At 38.1% G+C, this 21,162-nt stretch overlaps 1 protein-coding gene and 1 long non-coding RNA gene across 3 annotated transcripts in view; one reads left to right on the top strand and one right to left on the bottom strand.

Moving 5' to 3' along the window:
* Positions 1-17,120, top strand: part of PGM2L1 (phosphoglucomutase 2 like 1) — a 68,118-nt gene extending 50,998 nt beyond the window's left edge. For both annotated transcript variants that reach the window (NM_173582.6, XM_011544953.4), the window contains 8 exons: positions 99-288; positions 607-704; positions 1,787-1,967; positions 4,020-4,113; positions 4,422-4,551; positions 4,786-4,975; positions 8,835-8,968; positions 10,682-17,120. In NM_173582.6, the coding sequence (NP_775853.2) occupies positions 99-288; positions 607-704; positions 1,787-1,967; positions 4,020-4,113; positions 4,422-4,551; positions 4,786-4,975; positions 8,835-8,968; positions 10,682-10,784 (1,120 nt within the window). In that variant the 3' untranslated portion in view covers positions 10,785-17,120. The remainder of the gene's footprint in view (positions 1-98; positions 289-606; positions 705-1,786; positions 1,968-4,019; positions 4,114-4,421; positions 4,552-4,785; positions 4,976-8,834; positions 8,969-10,681) is intronic.
* The window catches only part of LOC112268078 (uncharacterized), a 40,429-nt gene extending 21,296 nt beyond the window's left edge, over positions 1-19,133 (bottom strand). The window contains exons 1-2 of the long non-coding RNA XR_002957258.2: positions 18,964-19,133; positions 17,948-18,091 (exon numbers count right to left, since the gene is read on the bottom strand). This is a non-coding gene — a long non-coding RNA (uncharacterized LOC112268078). The remainder of the gene's footprint in view (positions 1-17,947; positions 18,092-18,963) is intronic.
* Positions 19,134-21,162: the final 2,029 nt, after the last annotated feature.

The raw sequence follows: 21,162 nt of genomic DNA, 5'->3' as shown, positions 1-21,162 counted from the left end.
CATTTAATCACATTTTCAAATCAGAATTTGATTGTTTTTAATTATATCAAAGGTAAGAGGTTTTGTAATCATGATCTTATGTTGATTTTCCTTTACAGGGAGTTAAACTCGAAGACCACCTTGAAATTTGTGCACACATCTTTTCATGGGGTCGGACATGACTATGTGCAGTTGGCTTTTAAAGTGTTTGGTTTTAAGCCTCCAATTCCAGTACCAGAACAAAAAGATCCTGATCCAGACTTTTCTACCGTTAAATGTCCAAATCCTGAAGAAGGAGAATCTGTGCTGGTATTTTTTTAAATATTTAAATTATTATTAGTTTATTAAACCATCAGAATAGATAGAACTCATTGACAATTCAAAGATTACTTACAAAAGCAGAAAGGACTGTAGTTTACATCTTTTAATTGTATTGGAGTAATAATAGGCTGTGTTTTGTTTGAAATGTCTATGGTGGGTGTCCCTACTTTTGGCTTCTTGTTTTAAACGTAGCTGAATTCTATGCCTTCTAAAATTCCTATCACTAACATTGTGCCTACATACAGGAACGTTAACATTGAACTTAGGTTCTTCAGTACAATCCAGCTTTTTGGGTCACTGTTTCAGGAACTTTCCTTGAGACTGGCAGAGAAAGAAAATGCCCGGGTAGTGCTAGCCACAGATCCTGATGCAGACAGACTGGCAGCAGCAGAACTTCAGGAGAAGTATGTAGAATCTGTTATTTGATTAAAAGCTTGAACTTTGAAAAGCAATGTATTTTAAGTCTTACAGGCTCATTGAAAATAATGAAAAGATAAGAAAAGAACATAAATTTCCTGTAAATCCATTATCCCAAAATAACCACCTAAGTTGATACTTTGATAATTCTTTCCTGTCTTTTAAATTGAAATATTTAAAGATGTATTTGTTTTTATTAAATTATGATCATAGTTTTATATCTTGATTATTTTCCACATTAATTGTACAAAATGCTTCAAAAACTGCTTACAGTGTAATGGTTAAGTATAATGCTTACAGTGTAAGCATTTTCCCCTGACTTTATACATTTTTTGAAAATATTAATTTTTACAAAGACATAATATCCCAACAGATCGCTTTATGATGTAGTTATTTCCTAACCTTTTTTTTTGTTTGTTTGCTTTTTTTTTTTTTTTTTTTTTTTTTTGGAGACATAGTTTCGCTCTTGTTGCTTAGGCTGGAGTGGAGTGCAATGGTGCTATCTTGGCTCACTGCAGCCTCTGCCTCCCAGGTTCAAGCTATTCTCCTGCCTCAGCCTCCTAAGTAGCTGGGACTACAGGCATGTGCCACCATGCCTGGCTAATTTTGTATTTTTAGTAGAGACAGGGTTTTGCCATGTTGGTCAGGCTGGTCTCGAACTCCTGACCTCAGGTGATCCTCCCACCTTGGCCCCCCAAAGTGCTGCGATTACAGGCATGAGCCACCTATTTCCTAATCTTAGTCCTCTGGGCTGCTATGTATTTTTACCATTATAATGTGACAAATGTCCTTAAATAGAAAGGCTTAATTATTTATCATAATTTTTTCTCTCATTAAGTAAAAGAATAAATGTAATGATATAATAATTTTCCAAAAGACGTTGTACCATTCCTACCGTAAAATCACCCCTGGTCAGTTAGAAAAGAAGTAGTAATAAATGTTTTCTCAAAAATCCCATATGATAGTTTTTGATTTTTCCTAACTGAAGGATGGTAATTTTTAGGCCTTGGAGTCAAGAAGTTTTAATGAGAAGAAAGGTCTTGACATTGTATTTTCCTTCTCTCTACAGTGGTTGTTGGAAAGTTTTCACAGGGAATGAGTTGGCAGCTTTGTTTGGATGGTGGATGTTTGATTGCTGGAAGAAAAATAAATCAAGAAATGCTGATGTGAAGAACGTTTATATGTTAGCCACCACAGTCTCTTCTAAAATTCTGAAGGCAATTGCACTTAAAGAAGGATTTCATTTTGAAGTAAGAATCAATAATATCTGTGTGCTACTTTTTAAAACCTATTTCTGTATGTTAAAGACATCTCCCCACCAAGACTGACTTTCATTGATTTCATTTGTAATTCCCTTATTTTTCTAATTCTGTTAACACTTGTTCAGTCTCTTTTGATAATTTAGACACCTTGAGCCAAAATTCATCCAGTACCGTATATGAATTTCTGGGACTAAGATGAGATATTCTTTAAAAATTACATTAATACTTATTATTCTGTACAACAAATATCTGGTTTTCAGACAGGGAAAATATAGCTCCTGGTGACCCCATCAGTAACTCAGACTTCTCTCCAAAAAGTTGTAGGTGTCATCAACCCCTTGTTCAGGCTCTTCAAGCATGGTCTTAAGGAACTTCAAGTAGTCTTCTAAATTGCATAGTAAACCCAATGATCCTACATCCAAAAAAACAAGCAGTGGCTCTCTCTCAGCCCAGATCATTAACCTTATGACCTTAAGACCCTTAAGCTGACCATTTTTGCAGCCATGTTAACTAAATTGCTTTTTCTCTGCCATCTTTGCCAAATATCAGTGAAAATGTCCCTGGACATTTTTCTTGAGCCATAGTCAGGCTACAGGTCTTAACACTAATTTACTGAGTAAAAGAAAATTGTACCTGGCTTTATGAAATAGAGCTTTCAACCTTATGCTTTCTAAAACACAAATAGCAAAATAGAAGATACTGAAAGTTGATTCACACCTAAGATTCTGATGTTTTCCTAGTTTATGTCTATAGCAAGAAGAAGTATAATGGGCACAAAAGAGAAAGAAGAACAATTCTAAAGACCACTATTATAATTTTATTTGCTTGTTTTTGTTGTAGCAGGGAGGTTTTTGACTTTTTAATTTTTATTTTGTAGTAAGGAGGTAGAAAGGTGAATTAGGAAACAAGTTAGTAATGGTGAGCTTTAGTATTAGGGTGTATCACATACTCTTTCTGTTGACTCTGAAACTCTTTCTGTGTCTTTAAAGTGAACAGTAGCTCATTAGATGAAAAGTCCTCAAATCTAATTATTTAAAGAAGTAGTTAGTAACTGTCTTGGTGGTTTTATTAATAGTTAGGACACAGTGTTATGAGAAGGTACACTTGGTTCAAGCTTATGTTATGCTAATATTAAAAGTGCATCACTAAAAAGCTTCATGACCTTTCATTGATTACTCAGGGAGAGTAAATCCACCAACTTTCATAGGCACTCTTATATTAGTGGTTGTAATATAGCTTAAAGGACAGTTTCTGAGAAGCAGAAACTTGAAATTGAATCTTGACTCCATCTCTTATATGCAGTATAATTTTGGGCAGATTGACTTATCTTTCAAGGCTGTGTTTCAGCGACAGCGTTTTTGAGCATTAAAAAAAGATAATGGGGCCAGACGTGGTGGCTCACGCCTGTAATCCCAGCACTTTGGGAGGCTGAGGCAGGTGGATCACAAGGTCAGGAGTTCAAGACCAGCCTGACCAACATGGTGAAACCCCGTCTCTACTAAAAATACAAAAATTAGCTGGGCGTGGTGGCACACCTGTAATCCTAGCTACTTAGGAGGCTGAGACAGGAGAATTGCTTGAACCTGGGAGACGGAGGTTGCAGTGAGCTGAAATTGCGCCACTGCACTCCAGCCTGGGTGACAGAGCGAGACTCCGTCTCAAAAAAAAAAAAAAAAAAAAAAAAAAAGATAATGTAAAGCACCTGGTTCAGTCCTTAATAGTAGGTGATTATACTGATTATACTGTATGTGCTTATTCATGTTACTTTGTGACTACATGAAGCACCACTTATAAATGCTGGTTTATATTTGGTGTAAATCACCTAGTACTATAATCTGTAAATAGTAGGTCATTAGTAGTAGCAGTGTGTGTATTTATGGCCCTTCATTACTATATGTCTGCTACTGTATAAATCTTTGTGGACTGAAGACTATAGTAAGGATCATTATATGAACGTTGTGTGCATGTAGTGGCAGATTTTTCTCTAATAGGTATTTGTGAGACAGTCACTTAACTAGAGTGGCCTCCTCTGCATTTCAGGAAACATTACCAGGTTTTAAATGGATTGGAAGTAGGATAATAGACCTCCTGGAAAATGGGAAAGAAGTCCTTTTTGCATTTGAAGAGTCTATTGGTATGTAGTAAATATTAAAATCTTCAAAATTTGATTGATAATTTTTAAAATGTAATTCTGTAGGAGGAGTTTTTTGTGTTCTGGTTTCATATTTTGAGTTGTAAAAACTACAGAGAATGAGAAATATGTAGATACATTTCTTATCAGAAAAAAAAAAGAACGAAAGTGTCCCCTAAATACACTCAGTATTGATGAGTTTCATCTATTACTAGGCTTTTAAATTTCCTGGTCCTTCTGAAGAAATGTAAAACTATTGAAATTATAGCCTTAAGTTTTCCTCTTTTCTAGTGATGGTTTTCAATCCTCAGGTTTTCTCTGTGGAACTTCAGTTTTGGATAAAGATGGGGTGAGTGCAGCTGTTGTGGTTGCTGAGATGGCATCTTACCTGGAAACCATGAATATAACATTGAAACAGCAACTGGTTAAGGTTTATGAAAAGTAAGTTCTACTATTATGAATTTCACATGCTAGATTTTTCTTTTATTGTCCTACCCTTAGTTTTCTAAATTTGTTTCTGAAGAATAGTTGATCCTTTTTTAAAAAGTATTAAAATTATGTGAATTAAGGACTGCCACTTTGTATAAAATACCATAGTAGGCTGATCTTCCTTAATATATGCTTTTTTAAAGAGTTATCTGAAATCTAATTTTAGCACTTTGAATCTTTGCACAGATATGGTTATCATATTTCAAAAACTTCCTATTTCTTGTGTTATGAACCACCTACCATCAAAAGTATATTTGAAAGGCTTCGTAATTTTGATTCTCCAAAAGAATATCCAAAATTTTGTGGAACATTTGCTATATTGCATGTACGGGACGTTACCACTGGATATGACAGTAGCCAGCCTAATAAGAAATCAGTAAGTACCTTTTTTTTTTTCCAAACAATTTAGAAAATTTCATGGCTCATGTCACCAAAAAGTCCAGAGGCAGGACAGATTTCACATGAGATTCAATCCAGTTTCCTCATGTTTACCAGTTTATTATAAAGGTGACAATTCTGGAACAGCCAGATGGAAGAGATGTATAGGGCAATGTACTAGGGGTGGGGTTGGGGCCTGGAGCCTCCCAGCAAGTCCACGTGTTTACCAAGCTGGAAGCTCCTGTAAATACTTAAAAAAAAAGTTTTTAACAGTTTATTATAATTCATACTGAAATAGGAGATCAGCAGGACTTGTTTTCCAAGCACTGGTCATGACCTCACTGATCAAAACAGGATCTGGTCCAAACAGGATGCAGTAAAGAAACCAGCCAAAATCAGCTAAAACCAAGATGGCAACAAAAGCAACCTCTAGTTCCCCTCACTGCTCATTATATGCTAATTATAATACATTAGCATGCTAAAAGACACTCCCACCAACACCATGACAGCTTACAGATGTCATGGCAACACCCAGAAGTTACCTTATGTGGTTTAAACGTGGAGGAACCCTTGGTTCCACGAACTCCTCACACTTTTTCTAGAAAATTTGTGAATAACTTGCCCTTATTTAGCATATAATTAAGGAGAAGCTATAATATAGCTAGCCAGCAATCCATGGTACTACTCTGCCTATGAAGCAGCCATTTTCCTGTACTTTGTGGCTCTGATAAAATTGCTTTCCTTTTTTTTTTTTTTTTTTTTTCCTTGAGACAGTGTCTCGCTCTGTCTACCAGGCTGGAGTGCAGTGGCATGATCTCAGCTTACTGCAACCTCTGCCTCCCAGGTTCAACTGATTCTCCTGCCTCAGCCTCCTGAGTAGCTGGGGCTACAGAAGCATGTCACCACGCCTGACTAATTTTTGTATTTTTAGTAGAGACAGAGTTTCACCATGTTGGCCAGGCTGGTCTTGAACTCCTGACCCCAAGTGATCTGCCCACCTCGGCCTCCCAAAATGCTAGGATTACAGGCATGAGCCACCACGCCCAGCAGTTGCTTTCCTTTTACTTTACTCTGTTGATTCATTCTTGAATTCTTTCCTGTGTGAAGTCAAGAACCCTCCTGGGCTGAGCCCCAGTTTGGGGGTTCACCTGCATCAATACTATAATAAAATGGTGAAACTTCAGGCCTGTGAGTTTCCTTAAGACTAGAACCCATTGTTTTGCTCCAGAGCATTTTTCAGTCTGCTAACTTATCTCTCTGACTTTGATCCTATCCTTATCACTTCCCAAATAATCATGTATACTACCCTCAGGGTAAGATGTGTGGAATGGAGGTGGGGGCAGAGAGAGAGAAAGAAAAAGAGAAAATGGGCAAGGATGCTAGATAATGTTGAAAATAACTGTAAAAGCCTATAATTTCAAAGCCATACATCTTTCTAATTTTAACTTCCTTTTCCAACCTTATTCCCTATACCTCCAGCCAAATAGAACAGCTTACTTACTTACCTACATGTATACATTTTTTTTAAATTTCTGCATTTTTGGTCCAGTTGTTTCCTTAGTTTACCCATTTTTCCAATTTCTACAGGCCCATACCTCAGCTACTATAAGACTTAAGGCAAATGTCACCTGTTCCACGCGACCTCTAGGCCTCATAATTAGACACCTTCCTCTTCAGGTTTCATTACATAGTGTGCCTTCCTCCTATTACTGTTTTATGTCATCATTGTGTTGTACATGGCATGTTCCTTTCTGATGTACTTTTTTGCCTCACCAAGTTGCTGCCTATGTTGTGGCTGCTCAACAAATACTTAAATGCCATAGATGCTGATTATATTCATTTTGTTATTGTTGTTGTGATGATTATTAGCCCAAATTTCCATTTGTAATGTTCTGATGTGGTCTCAAGATTCTGGGGACATAATGTATTTTGGAAAATCTGTAGTTTATTGTGTAGAATAGTACCCATATTCCATTTTTGCATATTTATCCAATCAACAAATATTAGTTCCTGGTGTTGATATCCTGTGTATGAGTATATATGTGTCTACTTTTCTATCTTTGTAAATTGCTGGAAGAGAAGAATCACATTTTGCTTCTTTTTATTTCTCTAGTTTGCTGTGCTCAAGTAGCCTATGGTATAATGCTTTTCTCCCTCTTAATTCTCGTTAAAGTGTATAATATTCATTATTCAGGGTGCTTTTTCATCTATTCTCTTCTGGTTCTTACAACAAGTTTGTAAGGTAGGTAGCATAGATGTTGTTATCCCCAAGGTTGCATAGTAAGTGTCAAAGCCTTCCTGAATTCTCTCTTTTCCATGTTTCAGATTAATTGATGTTCATCTGTGTATATTCACTTATCAGAGTCCTTCTGTGCTGCAGGCACAGGTACACTAGGAATATAGCAATGACAAAAACACTGCACTCAAGAAAAAGTCTAGTGGGGAAATTGACAAGTAAATAGCAATTTACAAAATGATAAGTGCTACCAGGGGAGGCATGCATAGGATGTCATGGAAGAGACTTTGGGGGCTTATGCAAGACTTTCTAGAGAACTGTTCTGAACTGAGTTCCCAAGTATGATTAGGAGTTGGCCAGATGCAGGAGGAGCAGAGGGTGTTTCAGGCAAAGGGAACAGTAAGTACAAGGTCCAGAGATGAAAAAGCATATTCTCTTTCAGAGAACCACAGGTAGTTGTCTATAACTGGAGTATGAGGTGAGAAGAATGGCCTGCATGATGAGTGGGTTTTGAGGGGCAAACTTCCAGGCAGGAAGATCAGTTAGTACACTGTGTCAGCAGTCTAGATGAGGTGTGATGGTCACCTGAATTCAATATAGGAGCAGTGATGGAAAGAACTGGATAAAGTTGAGTTAAATAAAGTATAGAAAGGACTTGCTACTTTATGGGCTGTGGGTGAAAAAGAAGGGAAGATCTCTGTGTTAAGTCACTGGTATATGGTAATGTACTGACCAAGAGAAGGGTCTCAAGGACAGGACTCATGGCTCAGGACAGCTGAGGAAAGGTACCAGTGTCAACCCCTCTGGCCTAGTACAACCCTCACAGTCCCCTCGAGATGCCTCAACAGACGGATGTGTGGACTAGCAAGAGTACCAGTGTTAATCCATATATTTAGTGTCAGTAAAACATCACTTCTTTTTTTAATTTTTATAAAAAATAGAGTTCTTTCTGCACCCCAGTACATGCAGGATGTGTGCACTCCTCTTTGGAGACGATTGATAAACGGCAAAAATGCTTCGCAAATATAGAGGCAGTTTGGACTTTGGAACTTGGCTTCCGCTTCTTGTTCTACCACTTAGTTGATTGTCTTGAATGGGTTGTTTACTCTCTTTGAGCCTCGTCTGTAAAATGGCGGTAACACTTACTTTGCAGGATTATTGTTGAGGCCCAGAGATCATGCATTGAGGTATATAACCCCATGCCTTAACTATTCAGTAAATGGTATGTTTATGAATTATTACATATAGGTAATCTTCATTTGTATTTTATAATTCTTTTAAAATATGTTTTAAATTTTCAATTGTGGTTAAAAAAACACATAACAAAAATTAACTATCTTAACCATTTTTAAGTGTATAGTTCGGTAGTGTTAAGTATATTTATATTGTTGTGCGACAGAGCTCTAGAACTTTTTCATCTTGCTAAACTGAAACTCTCTATCCTTTAAGCAATAACTCCCTATACCCCCTGCCTTGGCAACTGCCATTCTAATTTCTATTTCTGTAAATTTGACGACTTTAGATACCTCATATAAGTGGACTATATTTTACAATTCTTGAAAATGAAAGAAAATGAAAAAGATGCCAAGTATAATTAAGCTGTTGTTGCCATTTTGCATAGGTGCTGCCTGTGAGTAAAAACAGCCAAATGATTACATTTACTTTTCAAAATGGCTGTGTTGCTACCCTTCGGACAAGTGGAACAGAACCAAAGATAAAGTATTATGCAGAGATGTGTGCGTCACCTGACCAGAGGTAAGAATTGATTTTTTTAAGATATACATACAAAAGCTTTATTGAAATATAATTCACATACCATACAGCTCACGCACTTAAAATGTACAATTCAGTGGCTTTTAGTATGTTCAAAGTTGTGCATCCATCACTGTAATCAATTTTAGAACATTTTCATCACCCCCAAAAGCCCGTAGCCATGAGAAATCACTTCCCATTTCCCTCCTTTACGGCCCTCAGCAACCCCAATCTACTGTCTTTCTCTATAGATTTGCTTCTTTTCTGGGCATTTCATATAAATGGAATCATACAATATGTGGGCCTTTGTGACTGCCGTCTTTTACTTAGTATAATGGTTTCTAGGTTCCACCATGATTCAGTTGTAGCATGAATTTATTCCTTTTTTTAAAGTTTTGTTTTTTATGGCCCAACAATATTCCATTGCATGGCTATGCCATGCTTTTTAATCCATTGATCATTTGATGGACATTCAGATTATTTGCACTCTTTGGCTGTTTTGAATACTGTTATGAACATTTACATACAGGTTTTTGTGTGAATGTATGTTTTCATTTCTCTTAGGTATATACCTAGGAGTGAACTGCTGGGTCATATGGTAGCTCTGTGTTTAACCTTTTGAGGAACTGCCAGACCATTTTTTAAAGCAGCTACATCATTTGGGAATTGAATTTTAAAATTGTATTGAATTTCTATTCTTGGAAAGATTCTCTGAGCTTTAAGTATTATGTGATTAACATAAGGAAATTATCATCAAATAATTTGTTTATTGCCAAATATCCATTTTCTATGTCTAATATGACTTGACATAATCTGTTCAGTTCATTTCCTTTTAAGAGGATGAATTGTGACTAAGTGAATTTCATAAACATATTCAAAGGCTACTTAAATGTATTAAAAGTACTGTCTCCTATAATATTGTAATTGCTCAATATATATTTGGGAAGGAGATTTTTTAGAATTGCTTTCAGAGTCCAACCAAGCTATACTATTTTGTATTTCCCCAAATCTTTGCATTTAAGGATAGATTTCATTTCCTTTGGGGGGGATAAAGAGCCCCCGAAGTCATTCAAAGTAGAATCTAAAGTAAACCAAATTGGGTAATGCTACATCTGGTTGAAAATGAAGGAAGATTATTAAAGTAATAAGAACTGATTTGTTGTGTAGCTTTTAAAATGACTGTAAAGGCAGTTTAAAAGAGGCTTGCCTCGAAATGTTCTGGGCAACGGCAGCACCTCAGTGATGACTTTCAAGGGCCTTCTTTTAAGTGCACATTTATTTTTTTAAACATCACGTTATTTTAGTCACACCTCCTTCTGCTACCTGAAAGATATATCATTCCATAACATCTGTACTGAATATTTTTCAAAGTATTTCAGGAAGCCATTTTCTCCTAACACCTGGTATTTGTGTTCAAAGCCATTAGAACCTCATTCTCCTGACCCAGGAGAATTCTTTAGATACACCATCACTCCTCTGTTTATCATGTGCCAAGGAACTCCTATTAATGCAGTTCACCTTCAGTTTGTGATAGCAGTGTTTTCTTTGTGTGTAATTTTTTTTTTTGGTCTTGTTTTGTTTTAACCAAGTGAATTTCTCTTTTGTTTACCAATTGTTTAATGACTCCATCAGGACCTCTTAAAAAATCACACTAATTTAAATAAATTTTAAGCCTATGAAAATAAATAATTCCAAAACTCTTCATCTTTTCCTCAGTGACACTGCTTTACTGGAGGAAGAACTGAAGAAACTCATTGATGCTCTGATAGAGAATTTTCTTCAGCCTAGTAAGAATGGACTGATCTGGCGTTCTGTTTAGGGGTACACCAATATGTCATGACACTGTGTGGGCATATGGAACAGAGCAACCGAGAACTGCATACATTGAACCTTGTGTTAGCATTCTCTCTCTATCTCATCTGGCCGAGTATCTTTTTCCTTTTATTTTCTTTCTTTTTGGTCAACTGGCTAGACTAAACAAAGTATAAGTTTGAAATGAAATGGTCTAGAGGGAAATGATTCAAATTTTTTCATAATTCAAACAAAAGTTATTACACTAAAAGTATTATAGTAACGTATTGTCCTTCCGTTAACAGAAACATCACAATTCAAAAGTGAGTTTTCTTATTATAGTGTGATTAAGCCTAGTTCTGTATCTCGTAATTGTGTATAGCATGGTAAAAGAAAAAAAAAAAGACAGGTAAATGTTATATAATTGTAGGGTTAGTTAAGGAAATTAGTCCATAAAATTGGCAAGAAAATGGTACTTTCCTTGATTGTTATGAAAAAGTGTCATTGTGACATCACAGGTATTAATTTACAAATTAGAGTATTTGAAATAGGATATTTAGCATTTCTGTAGTTTAGAACAGATGTTACAGTGTGTGGTTTTGGCATGTCTGTTTCAGGTGCCCTTGGTGCAGTATAAATTTACTGTATGTATTTAAAATTCTGATGTTTACTGAACATAAAACAATAGTGGCAACACTCCTATTGGCTTTGTTCTTATCAAATTTCTCAGTGCCTTCTCAGGGTCTGGTGTGAACAGAAAAAACAGTGTTCCTGCATTTACCATAATTTAATCAGTCAATTTGCAGATAGCTAAGGAAAATCTTCCAAAATCTGTAGGTGCTTCCTCTATATCAAGTGAGTTTGCTGATTTTAAAATCTTAGGAATATAAATAAAGATCTTAATAAAAGCAAGCTTAATGTAGTTAAGGATCTTCATATTAGAATTGTGTCATTTATCAAACCTTTTATTACAGAAAAAAATCTGAACTGAGAAAGGAGCTCTGAATTTATTTGACAGTCTAACTTTTGAATTACATTTTTGTAAGTAGATTTATTCTTTTATTTTATGAAGTAATGTTAATTTTACTAAGAATAAAACATCCAAATTTTAAGTATTATGAAATACTAAAACTACATGTTTTAAAACAGAGGTCCAGTTTATTCTAACATCTTGCTGACTTCTGTAGAATTTCTGATTGCATGACTATTATTTATCTTCTTTTAGTGTAGAAAATAATTTTTTACAAAAAGTCACTTTTGGGCTGGGCGCAGTGGCTCACGCCTGTAATCCCAGCACTTTGGGAGGCTGAGGCAGGTGGATCACAATGTCAGGAGTTTGAGACTAGCCTGGCCAATATGGTGAAACCCTGTCTCTACTAAAAATACAAAAATTAGCCGGGTGTGGTGGTGGGCACCTGTAGTCCCAGCTACTCGGGAGGCTGAGGCAGGAGAATTGCTTGAACCTAGGAGGCTGAGATTGCAGTGAGCCGAAATCACGCCACTACACTCCAGCCTGGGCAACAGAGGGAGACTCCATCTCAAAAAAAAAAAAAGTCACTTTTGGCTAATCATGCAGTCTTCTGAAAAGGTTTAATAGAGAAATGCTGTTTAGGCTGGGCTTGGTGGCTCACATCTGTAATACCAGCGCTTTGGGAGGCTGAGGCAGGAGGATTGCTTGAGGCCAGGAGTTTAAGTTACAGAACTATGATCACACTGCCGCACTGAAGCCTGGATGACAGAGTGAGACCTTATCTCAAAAAAAAAAAAAAAAAGAGAGAGAGAGAGAAAAAGAAATGCTGTGTTTAATCTTCTTAAAATGTATCTTGTCCTACATAGTTCTCAGAATACATATGGGGTATAGTTAGGAGATAACAATAACAAGACCTAAACAAATTGCTTATGGGAGATAGCACTGTAATTAGAGAATTTATTTCATATAAAATAATAATATAAAGTTTGAACTGATTAGAATGTTCCTTAAATCATGGTTTCGTTTGTTGCAGCTGTCAGCTAACATTTGGTTGAGCTCATATAATCCAAACCTAATTGTCCAACTATTGTATTGCCACTATTGTTAATTTGTTCCTTCCTTACTTTCTTATTGTTGGATCTTATATGACTGTATGACTGTAGATAATAGACAGCTAGCTAAATGTAGAGCACCATTTTTCTCAATGAGTTTGTTTTCAAAGGCTTTGCACTGGAGAAGATATGTGTAGAATTTTTGTTTTATTTTTAAAATGTGTAAAACATCTTTTGTTTTATATGCTTTTAAGAATGTAGATTGTAATTTAGGAAATGGCATATATTCTGCAAAGTGGTATAATGTTGTATATATGAAAAACAGGTATATTTGGTTTAGTTCTGTGTTTCAGTGACTGATAAACAAAAATGAAGCTAAAATGAATCAACGGCTCATTCATAGTTACTAAAGCCATGTCATGACTGTCATTCTATTATGAAGAAAACAGTTTTATTTGAGTGCTTTAATATAATGCAACATTTAAGTCATCTTAAGGTGAAAAGTTATTGAAGTGTTCTTCTCTCAAGTTAACAAAATTTTACAAATGTTCCTGAAGTGTATCGATTGAGGGAATTATTTTATTCTAGCCTGTCATGAGTCTGTCTGAGCATGATACTTAACATGAACTTGATGTAGTAGGTGCACATTTGCCTAACAGGATAAATTCAGTGATAGCCCAAGCTGGTCAGGAGAGACAGAAGTGCTGGCTAGGAGGTCTCAGCCTCGGGCACTACAATGTTTATCTTTTTCTTTTTGAACAATATTGTGAAAATGATTGCATTCTCATTGAGCATGAAAGTCAAAACTGGAATTTTCTAAAGCTTTGGAGAAAAGGAGAGAATTAGTAGGGCAAGATCAAAGCATACATTGGAAATAAACAGTAGAAATAAGCAAACAATATAAAGAGACACGGGAAATGCTTCTCGTGAAGGGCAAATGTAACACCATAACAGTAGGGAATAAACTGTGTCCCACCTGTTTACTTGTGTTTATTTGTTGTTATGATGAGTATGCACCTACCATTTTCCTTTATTGTGATCACTAAAATGAGGCCAAGGTTTAGGAGGTGAGAAAAAGTATCCCTTTTACGGATTCAGTTCCTGCTAGGATGTTGTATCAGAATCATGTGAGAACTCAGGAAGAGGTAGAGCAGAAATAAAAAGGAAGAAAATGTAGATTAGAAAATAAGACTTCTGAGAAAAAGTTCAAGGAATAAAGATTGTTTGACTCTGGAGAGGAGAAAGCTGTTGAGATAGTTTGCTAAGTTTGCTAATAAAGCTTTATTGAGTCTTTTATTGAAGGGTTCAAAGTAAGAAATACTATGCCATAGTGTTCTCCATCTCTAGTGAAGACAGAACCAGAGGGAATAAGGATCTTTTTTTTAAAGACAGCATGGAAAGTTTAAGATTTAGGAACTTCTTGAGAAATCTTCATAATATCTTCTATTCAAAATCTTTTTTTTATTTTTAAGGGAATAAAAATTTTAAAAATTAAGAGATATACAGATGACTTTTTAAGGGTCCTTCTTTCCAGCACATTTTTTTTAAAAACTCAGGTTAGAACAAAAATGTCATAAAGGGCACTAAAAGTAACATTTGGGTTTCACTCCATATCTAGAAGAATTTAGCTCACAAAACAATTTTTGTGTGTTTTGAGTAACTGATGCATAAGTGCAATGAATAATTTTCCTGCTTCACTGTTATTTTTAATTTAACCTGGCAAATTAAGTGAGACTTGAACAAAATTTTGTTCATCTTGAAGAATGTATAGTGGCTTAGGTTATTTGAGGTTTTCGTTTTGAATATATATGTTGTTATTTTGATGTAGATACGTTAGCAGATGGAGAGGTTCTAAGAGATTGGATACTTTGGAATGTCTTTATATAGGAAATAGACCTCCCATTTCTTAAGCAAGTTGCTTCTGGAATTGATGCAACAGGGATATTAGCTGTAGTTTAATGGATAAGTTGTTCTATGAGCTGCTGCTATCAGTACTTTTTTCCACATTTTCCATTGATATTTGTGATGCTTGAAAAATCCAAACTTCACTTGGATACATTTAATTTTATGCCTTTTTCTCTCTACCTCCCACTTTTCCTAGGCACCCTTGCACATTTTGTTACTGTGAAGGACTATTGCCCTGTTACCTCACTGATAAGAAATCTCAACTGTATTCATTCAGAATGCTTTAAGCTTAGTCATAAACTACATTTGCCTATGGACCTTTGGTTATTTTGTTAATGTTGTCATTATATTTAAGACTTATTGTAGGAAGTAATTTTAAATCTATTTCATAACCTGTTTTGATCTGTCTGCATACTGCTATATGTTAATTTATTACGGCCTTTTACAATTCACTTGTCATCTGAGATTGTTCTAGAAACTGATGAGGAAAGAGTCGTACTAACCAAAATGAATGGGCAATTGACATAACATTCTATTTCAGGTTTCCTTGTACTTGGGGAGCCAAAGCACAAGATCTAAGGAAATCTTATTCACATTTGTCCCTCAGAGCATCTTACCCTAAGCCATAGAGGTATAAATAGTAAGATGAGAATTGCTCATTGTCTGACTCCTTGCACAGCATGAATTTAATTCTAGTTGGAAACAAAGTTAGTGTTGACTACTGGTTACCTTAAAGTATTCACCATACTATATATTTATTAGACCATCTTTCCTCTTTGTTTATTCAAGACTATGTACTTATAAAAGAGAACCTATAAGAATGTGTAGAGTGACCAAATAGGGACAAAGTGACATACCTAGAGTTTGCTGCTCAAATTTTTCCACTAGCGTAACCCTAAAGCAGAGGGGCATGATGAAGGGGGAAGGGGTTCTGAGAGCAAAATCAGAATCAGCCTACCACTGACATGAAGTGTGTTCTGTCTTTAAAATGTAAGTGAATTTTGCATTCTTTATAATAAAACTTTTAATATAAAAATGATATGTTTAATCTTTACTGAAACTTATGCCACCACAAAGGAGCACCATGTTCATCACGTGGCTGCTCAGTTTTCTCCCCCAGTGCCCTCACCCCCAGTGGAGGCAAGTCCTTGAGCTACACACACTGGCTGTAGTGCAAGATATATAAACATAGGCCGGGCTCGGTGGCTCATGCCTGTAATCCTAGCACTTTGGGAGGCCGAAGCAGGTGGATCATCTGAGGTCGGGAGATTGAGACTAGCCTGACCGACATGGAGAAACCCTGTGTCCACTAAAAATACAAAATTAGCCGGGTGTGGTGGCACATGCCTGTAATCCCAGCTACTCGGGAGGCTGAGGCAGGAGAATCACTTGAACCCAGGAGGTGGAGGTTGTGGTGAGCCAAGATCGCGCCGTTGCACTCCAGCCTGGGCAACAAGAGTGAAACTCCATCTCAAAAAAAAAAAAAAAAGATATATAAACATAGAACATATCCAGACTATTTCCTGCCCTTGGAATCTGACCTTCAGAAGGATTAATGCCAAACTAAACTGACCTGAAACAGTTTTGTTACTATTGGCATTCCTTGACTAAAAAGGACCACCTGATGCTCAGTCCCGAGAGTAGGAATCGTGGTTTATTATTTTTCATATCCATACCACCTAGTTCAGTACCTGTTATAGAGTGTTTAATTGCTGATACTAGGAATTAAGGGATTTTTTAAAAGTAGCAAATAGTTTAAGGAACAATCAAAAAATGAATTTTCTAATTCAGTTTTTTCAATGAAGTCCCATCACTGAACTTTATAATGTAATGTTTATTAAGCAGACATCCCCTTAAATACTCAGTTTCTTTGGAGAGAGCAAAGCATATCTCTCTGTGGAAATTATATATAATGCCTGGTATTTTACACTCAAAGCAAGGTGTTGGCCAGGAAGGTAAAGAAATGGTGTCTATGTAGACTTAATATCACTAGTCTAAGTGTCATTTTGAGCCTAGTAGCACTACCTTCCAAGTGAGTCACAACAAATTTGATCCTATTTGGTATGTTTTTGTCCACTGTTATGATTCATCATGTATCTTACAAGAGCCACTCAAGCAAGACTCTGCTTCTATGTATGGTGAGGCCTTGTTGTTCTAGGCTAGAATAAACTCTTTGTATGCCTCATTGAATATGCCAGGTAAAATTTATGCAGTCAAGAATGAATTATTTTTCTGACTAAAGTGTGTAGCAGTAGTTCAAAATTGTGCCCTTGTTTTAACAGTTTCTGTCAACATCTTCTCATTTTTCCCTACAAAAACACCAGGGTGTATTATAAGTACTGCCTGTGAGAATTTGCACTTTATGTATTTGTGTGTGGATTTCTTGTGGTTTTAGCCAAATGAAGTGTTATCAGTAATAAACAGGTCTCTTCATAGGCATGAGTTTCTGTGTAATTTTTATTTGAGATACTGTGTAGTTCATAAAGCTTGCTATCTAAACAGGAAATACTCTTGAAATACACACATCACATACCCTAGAATCCACTTTGCATCTAAATGAATATTCTGGCTTAGTACTCAGGAAATATTTCTTGATTGGTTTATCAGAAGTCCCAGATGTGAGAACTAACATTAACATTCTTATTTTTCTTTTCTTTTTCTCTCCTTAAGCTGATCTAATTTGTTTGCCCATGTTAGCGCCAGCTACTATAATAAGACAAAAGTTTAAAGTTTGGAAATCTCTCACGGTAATAACCGTAGATCTATGCTTCAATACTGATGAAGGACTGAGTTTCCAAGGGTTCTTATGAATCTGTGGTCCTGGTCTCTGTTGCCTGCCTTTCCCAGATCAGGCTCAAAGGGAAGATGACTGAAAGGAATGTTCTACGAGGTCCTTTTGTCAGCTTCTAAATGGAATATTCTGAGAACCATGCCGACCCCGTCCTTAACCACTTTCCCTAGTTTATTGTTCTTTATAGCACATAAACAAATGAACAAATCAATTTAAGTAGTAGTATTATCTGTCTTCATGAGCATAGCTTTTTCACTACTTTACCACTGCCTGGAACAGTGTATGGCCCTCAGTAGGTACCCAATAAATGTTTGTCAGATGAAAGAACCTATGTCATGTTTCTTCTTGAAGAAGAAAAACACCAAATCCTTGATTCTGCATATGCGCAGAGTTGCACGAGAAATATGCAGTGGCGATACCACCTGTTTTAGAGACATGTTGCTGCTGTTGGGTCATCTCTGCTCACAACATACCTGCTGAAATCTCAAGCTCCACATTTTCTTCCTGCTTTTCCTGAGTGGCCGTATATCTCCCTGGTTTGAAACCTCCAAATCATCTTCGATTTCTCCTGCCACTGGGTATGTGCTATTTGATGCATTCTTTAAATGTAACAGTCTCTGAAAGTAAAGGGCAAGGCCATTGACTTGAGACCCACGTAAAGAGACCAAGCAGCTAACACAACCTAAAATAATAGGGTTTTATTTATTTATTTATTTATTTATTTATTTATTTATTTATTATAACTGAATGAAAAAGATTTAATTTTATAAAATTGACAATGTTCACCAAATTATATCTATTACACTTTTTTTTTTTTTTTTTTTTTTTAGTATTTATTGATCATTCTTGGGTGTTTCTCGGAGAGGGGGATTTGGCAGGGTCATAGGACAATAGTGGAGGGAAGGTCAGCAGATAAACATGTGAACAAGGGTCTCTGGTTTTCCTAGGCAGAGGACCCTGCAGCCTTCCGCAGTGTTTGTGTCCCTGGGTACTTGAGATTAGGGAGTGGTGATGACTCTTAAGGAGCATGCTGCCTTCAAGCATCTGTTTAACAAAGCACATCTTGCACCGCCCTTAATCCATTTAACCCTGAGTGGACACAGCACATGTTTCAGAGAGCACGGGGTTGAGGGTAAGTTTATAGATTCACAGCAACCCAAGGCAGAAGAATTTTTCTTAGTACAGAGCAAAATGGAGTCTCCCATGTCTACTTCTTTCTACACAGACACAGTAACAATCTGATCTCTCTTTCTTTTCCCCACATTTCCCCCTTTTCTACTCGACAAAACCGCCATCGTCATCATGGCCCGTTCTCGATGAGCTGTTGGGTACACCTCCCAGACGGGGTGGCGGCCGGGCAGAGGGGCTCCTCACTTCCCAGACGGGGCGGCTGGGCAGAGGCGCCCCCCACCTCCCGGACGGGGCGGCAGCCGGGCGGGGGCTGCCCCCCACTTCCCCAATGGGGCGGCCGGGCAGAGACGCTCCTCACCTCCCAGACGGGGTGGCGGTCAGGCAGAGACACTCCTCAGATCCCAGACAGGTTCACGGCCTGGCCGAGGCACTCCTCACATCTCAGGCGATGGGCAGCCGGCCAGAGACGCTCCTCACTTCCTAGATGGGATGGCGGCCAGGAAGAGGCGCTCCTCACTTCCCAGACTGGGCGGCCAGGCAGAGGGTCTCCTCACATCCCAGAGACGGGCAGCCAGGCAGAGACGCTCCTCACTTCCCAGACTGGGTGGCGGCAGGGCAGAGGCTGCAATCTCGGCACTTTGGGAGGCCAAGGCAGGCGGCTGGGAGATGGATGTTGTAGCAAGCCGAGATCACGCCACTGCACTCCAGCCTGGGCAACATTGAGCACTGAGTAAGCGAGACTCCGTCTGCAATCCCGGCACCTCGGGAGGCCCAGGCGGGCAGATCACTCGCGGTCAGGAGCTGGATACCAGCCCGGCCAACACCGCGAAACCCCGTCTCCACCAAAAAATACAAAAACCAGTCAGGCGTGGCGGCGCACGCCTGCAATCCCAGGCACTCGGCAGGCTGAGGCGGGAGAATCAGGCAGGGAGGTTGCAGTGAGCCGAGATGGCGGCAGTACAGTCCAGCCTAGGCTGGGCCTCAGAGGGAGACCGTGGAAAGTGGGAGACGGGAGAGGGAGAGGGAGAGGGAGCAGGGTTTTATTTTTGTTCTCACTAAAGGAGAAGAGTTGGTATGTATATAAATGGAAACGTTTTGGAGGGGGGATTATAATAAAAATTTGGTATTCGCTATCCTTCCTCTCTATCTTCCCTAAACCAACACTTCCCCTCATTTCTGTTAGTGCTGTGACCATTCTCCTGTTTATTTTTATTTCCCTCTCTTTACCTCCATTTCTGATCATTAAGTGGTCCGACCTTGCACATAATTTGCTTTAGATTAAGTCTTTGACCTTTATCCCTCTGCTTCATTCATTCATTTAATACATATTGATTAATCTGGAAATGAGAAACAAGGGCACTCCAGAAGTCTAAAAAGTAAGAAAAAAGACACAACCACGTTACTGCCTAAACAACCAGTTAAGGACACCATGCTACTGCCCCCACACCACCAGAAAATCACCTTTATCTATTCCTTATGACTTTGGATTCAAAGTAACTTGAGAGAAGGCCCAGTTGGCTGGATTTTTGTCATTTGCCTGCCTCCTAGCTGCAACTGGAGGCTGATAAAGGAAGGATATGACTCCCTTAGCTTCCTCCTGACTTCTAGTAAGAGGCAGGACACTAGTTACCTTTCCATTGAGACACAGTTGGGGAGTTAATTTGCCAAATTGGAAATAATAGTGCAAAAAAAAAGTGACAAAAATCCACTACAGTGCTAGTGCTGAGTGTTGGAGAATAAACACTGGCAAAGGGATAGGGGAGGGTATTTTAAATACTGAACATGGCATACGTGTGCAGAGCACCAGTGATTTGGTGTTGCTCTTGGAGTTTGAGAGTGGGTGTGGGTAGGGATGTGAGTGGAGAGGTGGAGTGCTCTGTGTGCTGCTCCATGGAGCTTGGACTAAAGTCAGCAGCTGACGGGAGTCATCGAGGGATGATGGTGGTGCGACAGAATTTCCACTGGAAAGGAGTTTAAAGGGCATCTTACCTAACTGTCACCATTTTCTATGATGTGACCTCCAGTGGGGATACATGTTTGAACCTCTCCAGGGACAACGGGCCAAAACAAGTTCATTCTCTTTTAAATAAAGGCCAGTAGAGAGCTCTTTCTTGTGTTCAGCTGACCTCTGCCTTCTGCAGCTCCTACATTTTGCACTTGGAAGCTCTGTGTTATAAAAACAGTCCATTTCCTTTTCACTCAGTCCCCCTACCTCCCAGTCTAAATATGCATAATTCAGCTGCTGTTCCTTATATAACCAGTTTGGGGTTCCCCTCCCCTTCCTTGGGTTTTGTTTTCAAAAACCCAAGTCCAGAAATTAATACTCATGGAATGCTGGCATCAGTCCGGAGTAGAGAAAGGTGTGATTTCTACCTGAGATGACAGGCAGCACAACAGATGGGGCAGAGGGGCCTCAGCCGACAACACTGCTGGACTTCTCTTCACTTTGCCAGAGATTGGTCTTCCTTTTACTCTCACTCAAGCACCACCCCTTCCAAAAAGCCTTTCCTGACTGTGGCCCTAACCAAGCTGGCAGGGCCCCACCTCTCCTTCTCCA

This window comes from Homo sapiens, chromosome 11, assembly GCF_000001405.40.
Source record: "Homo sapiens chromosome 11, GRCh38.p14 Primary Assembly".
NCBI lineage: Eukaryota > Metazoa > Chordata > Mammalia > Primates > Hominidae > Homo > Homo sapiens.
This window is presented reverse-complemented; position numbering and strand designations above follow the sequence as displayed.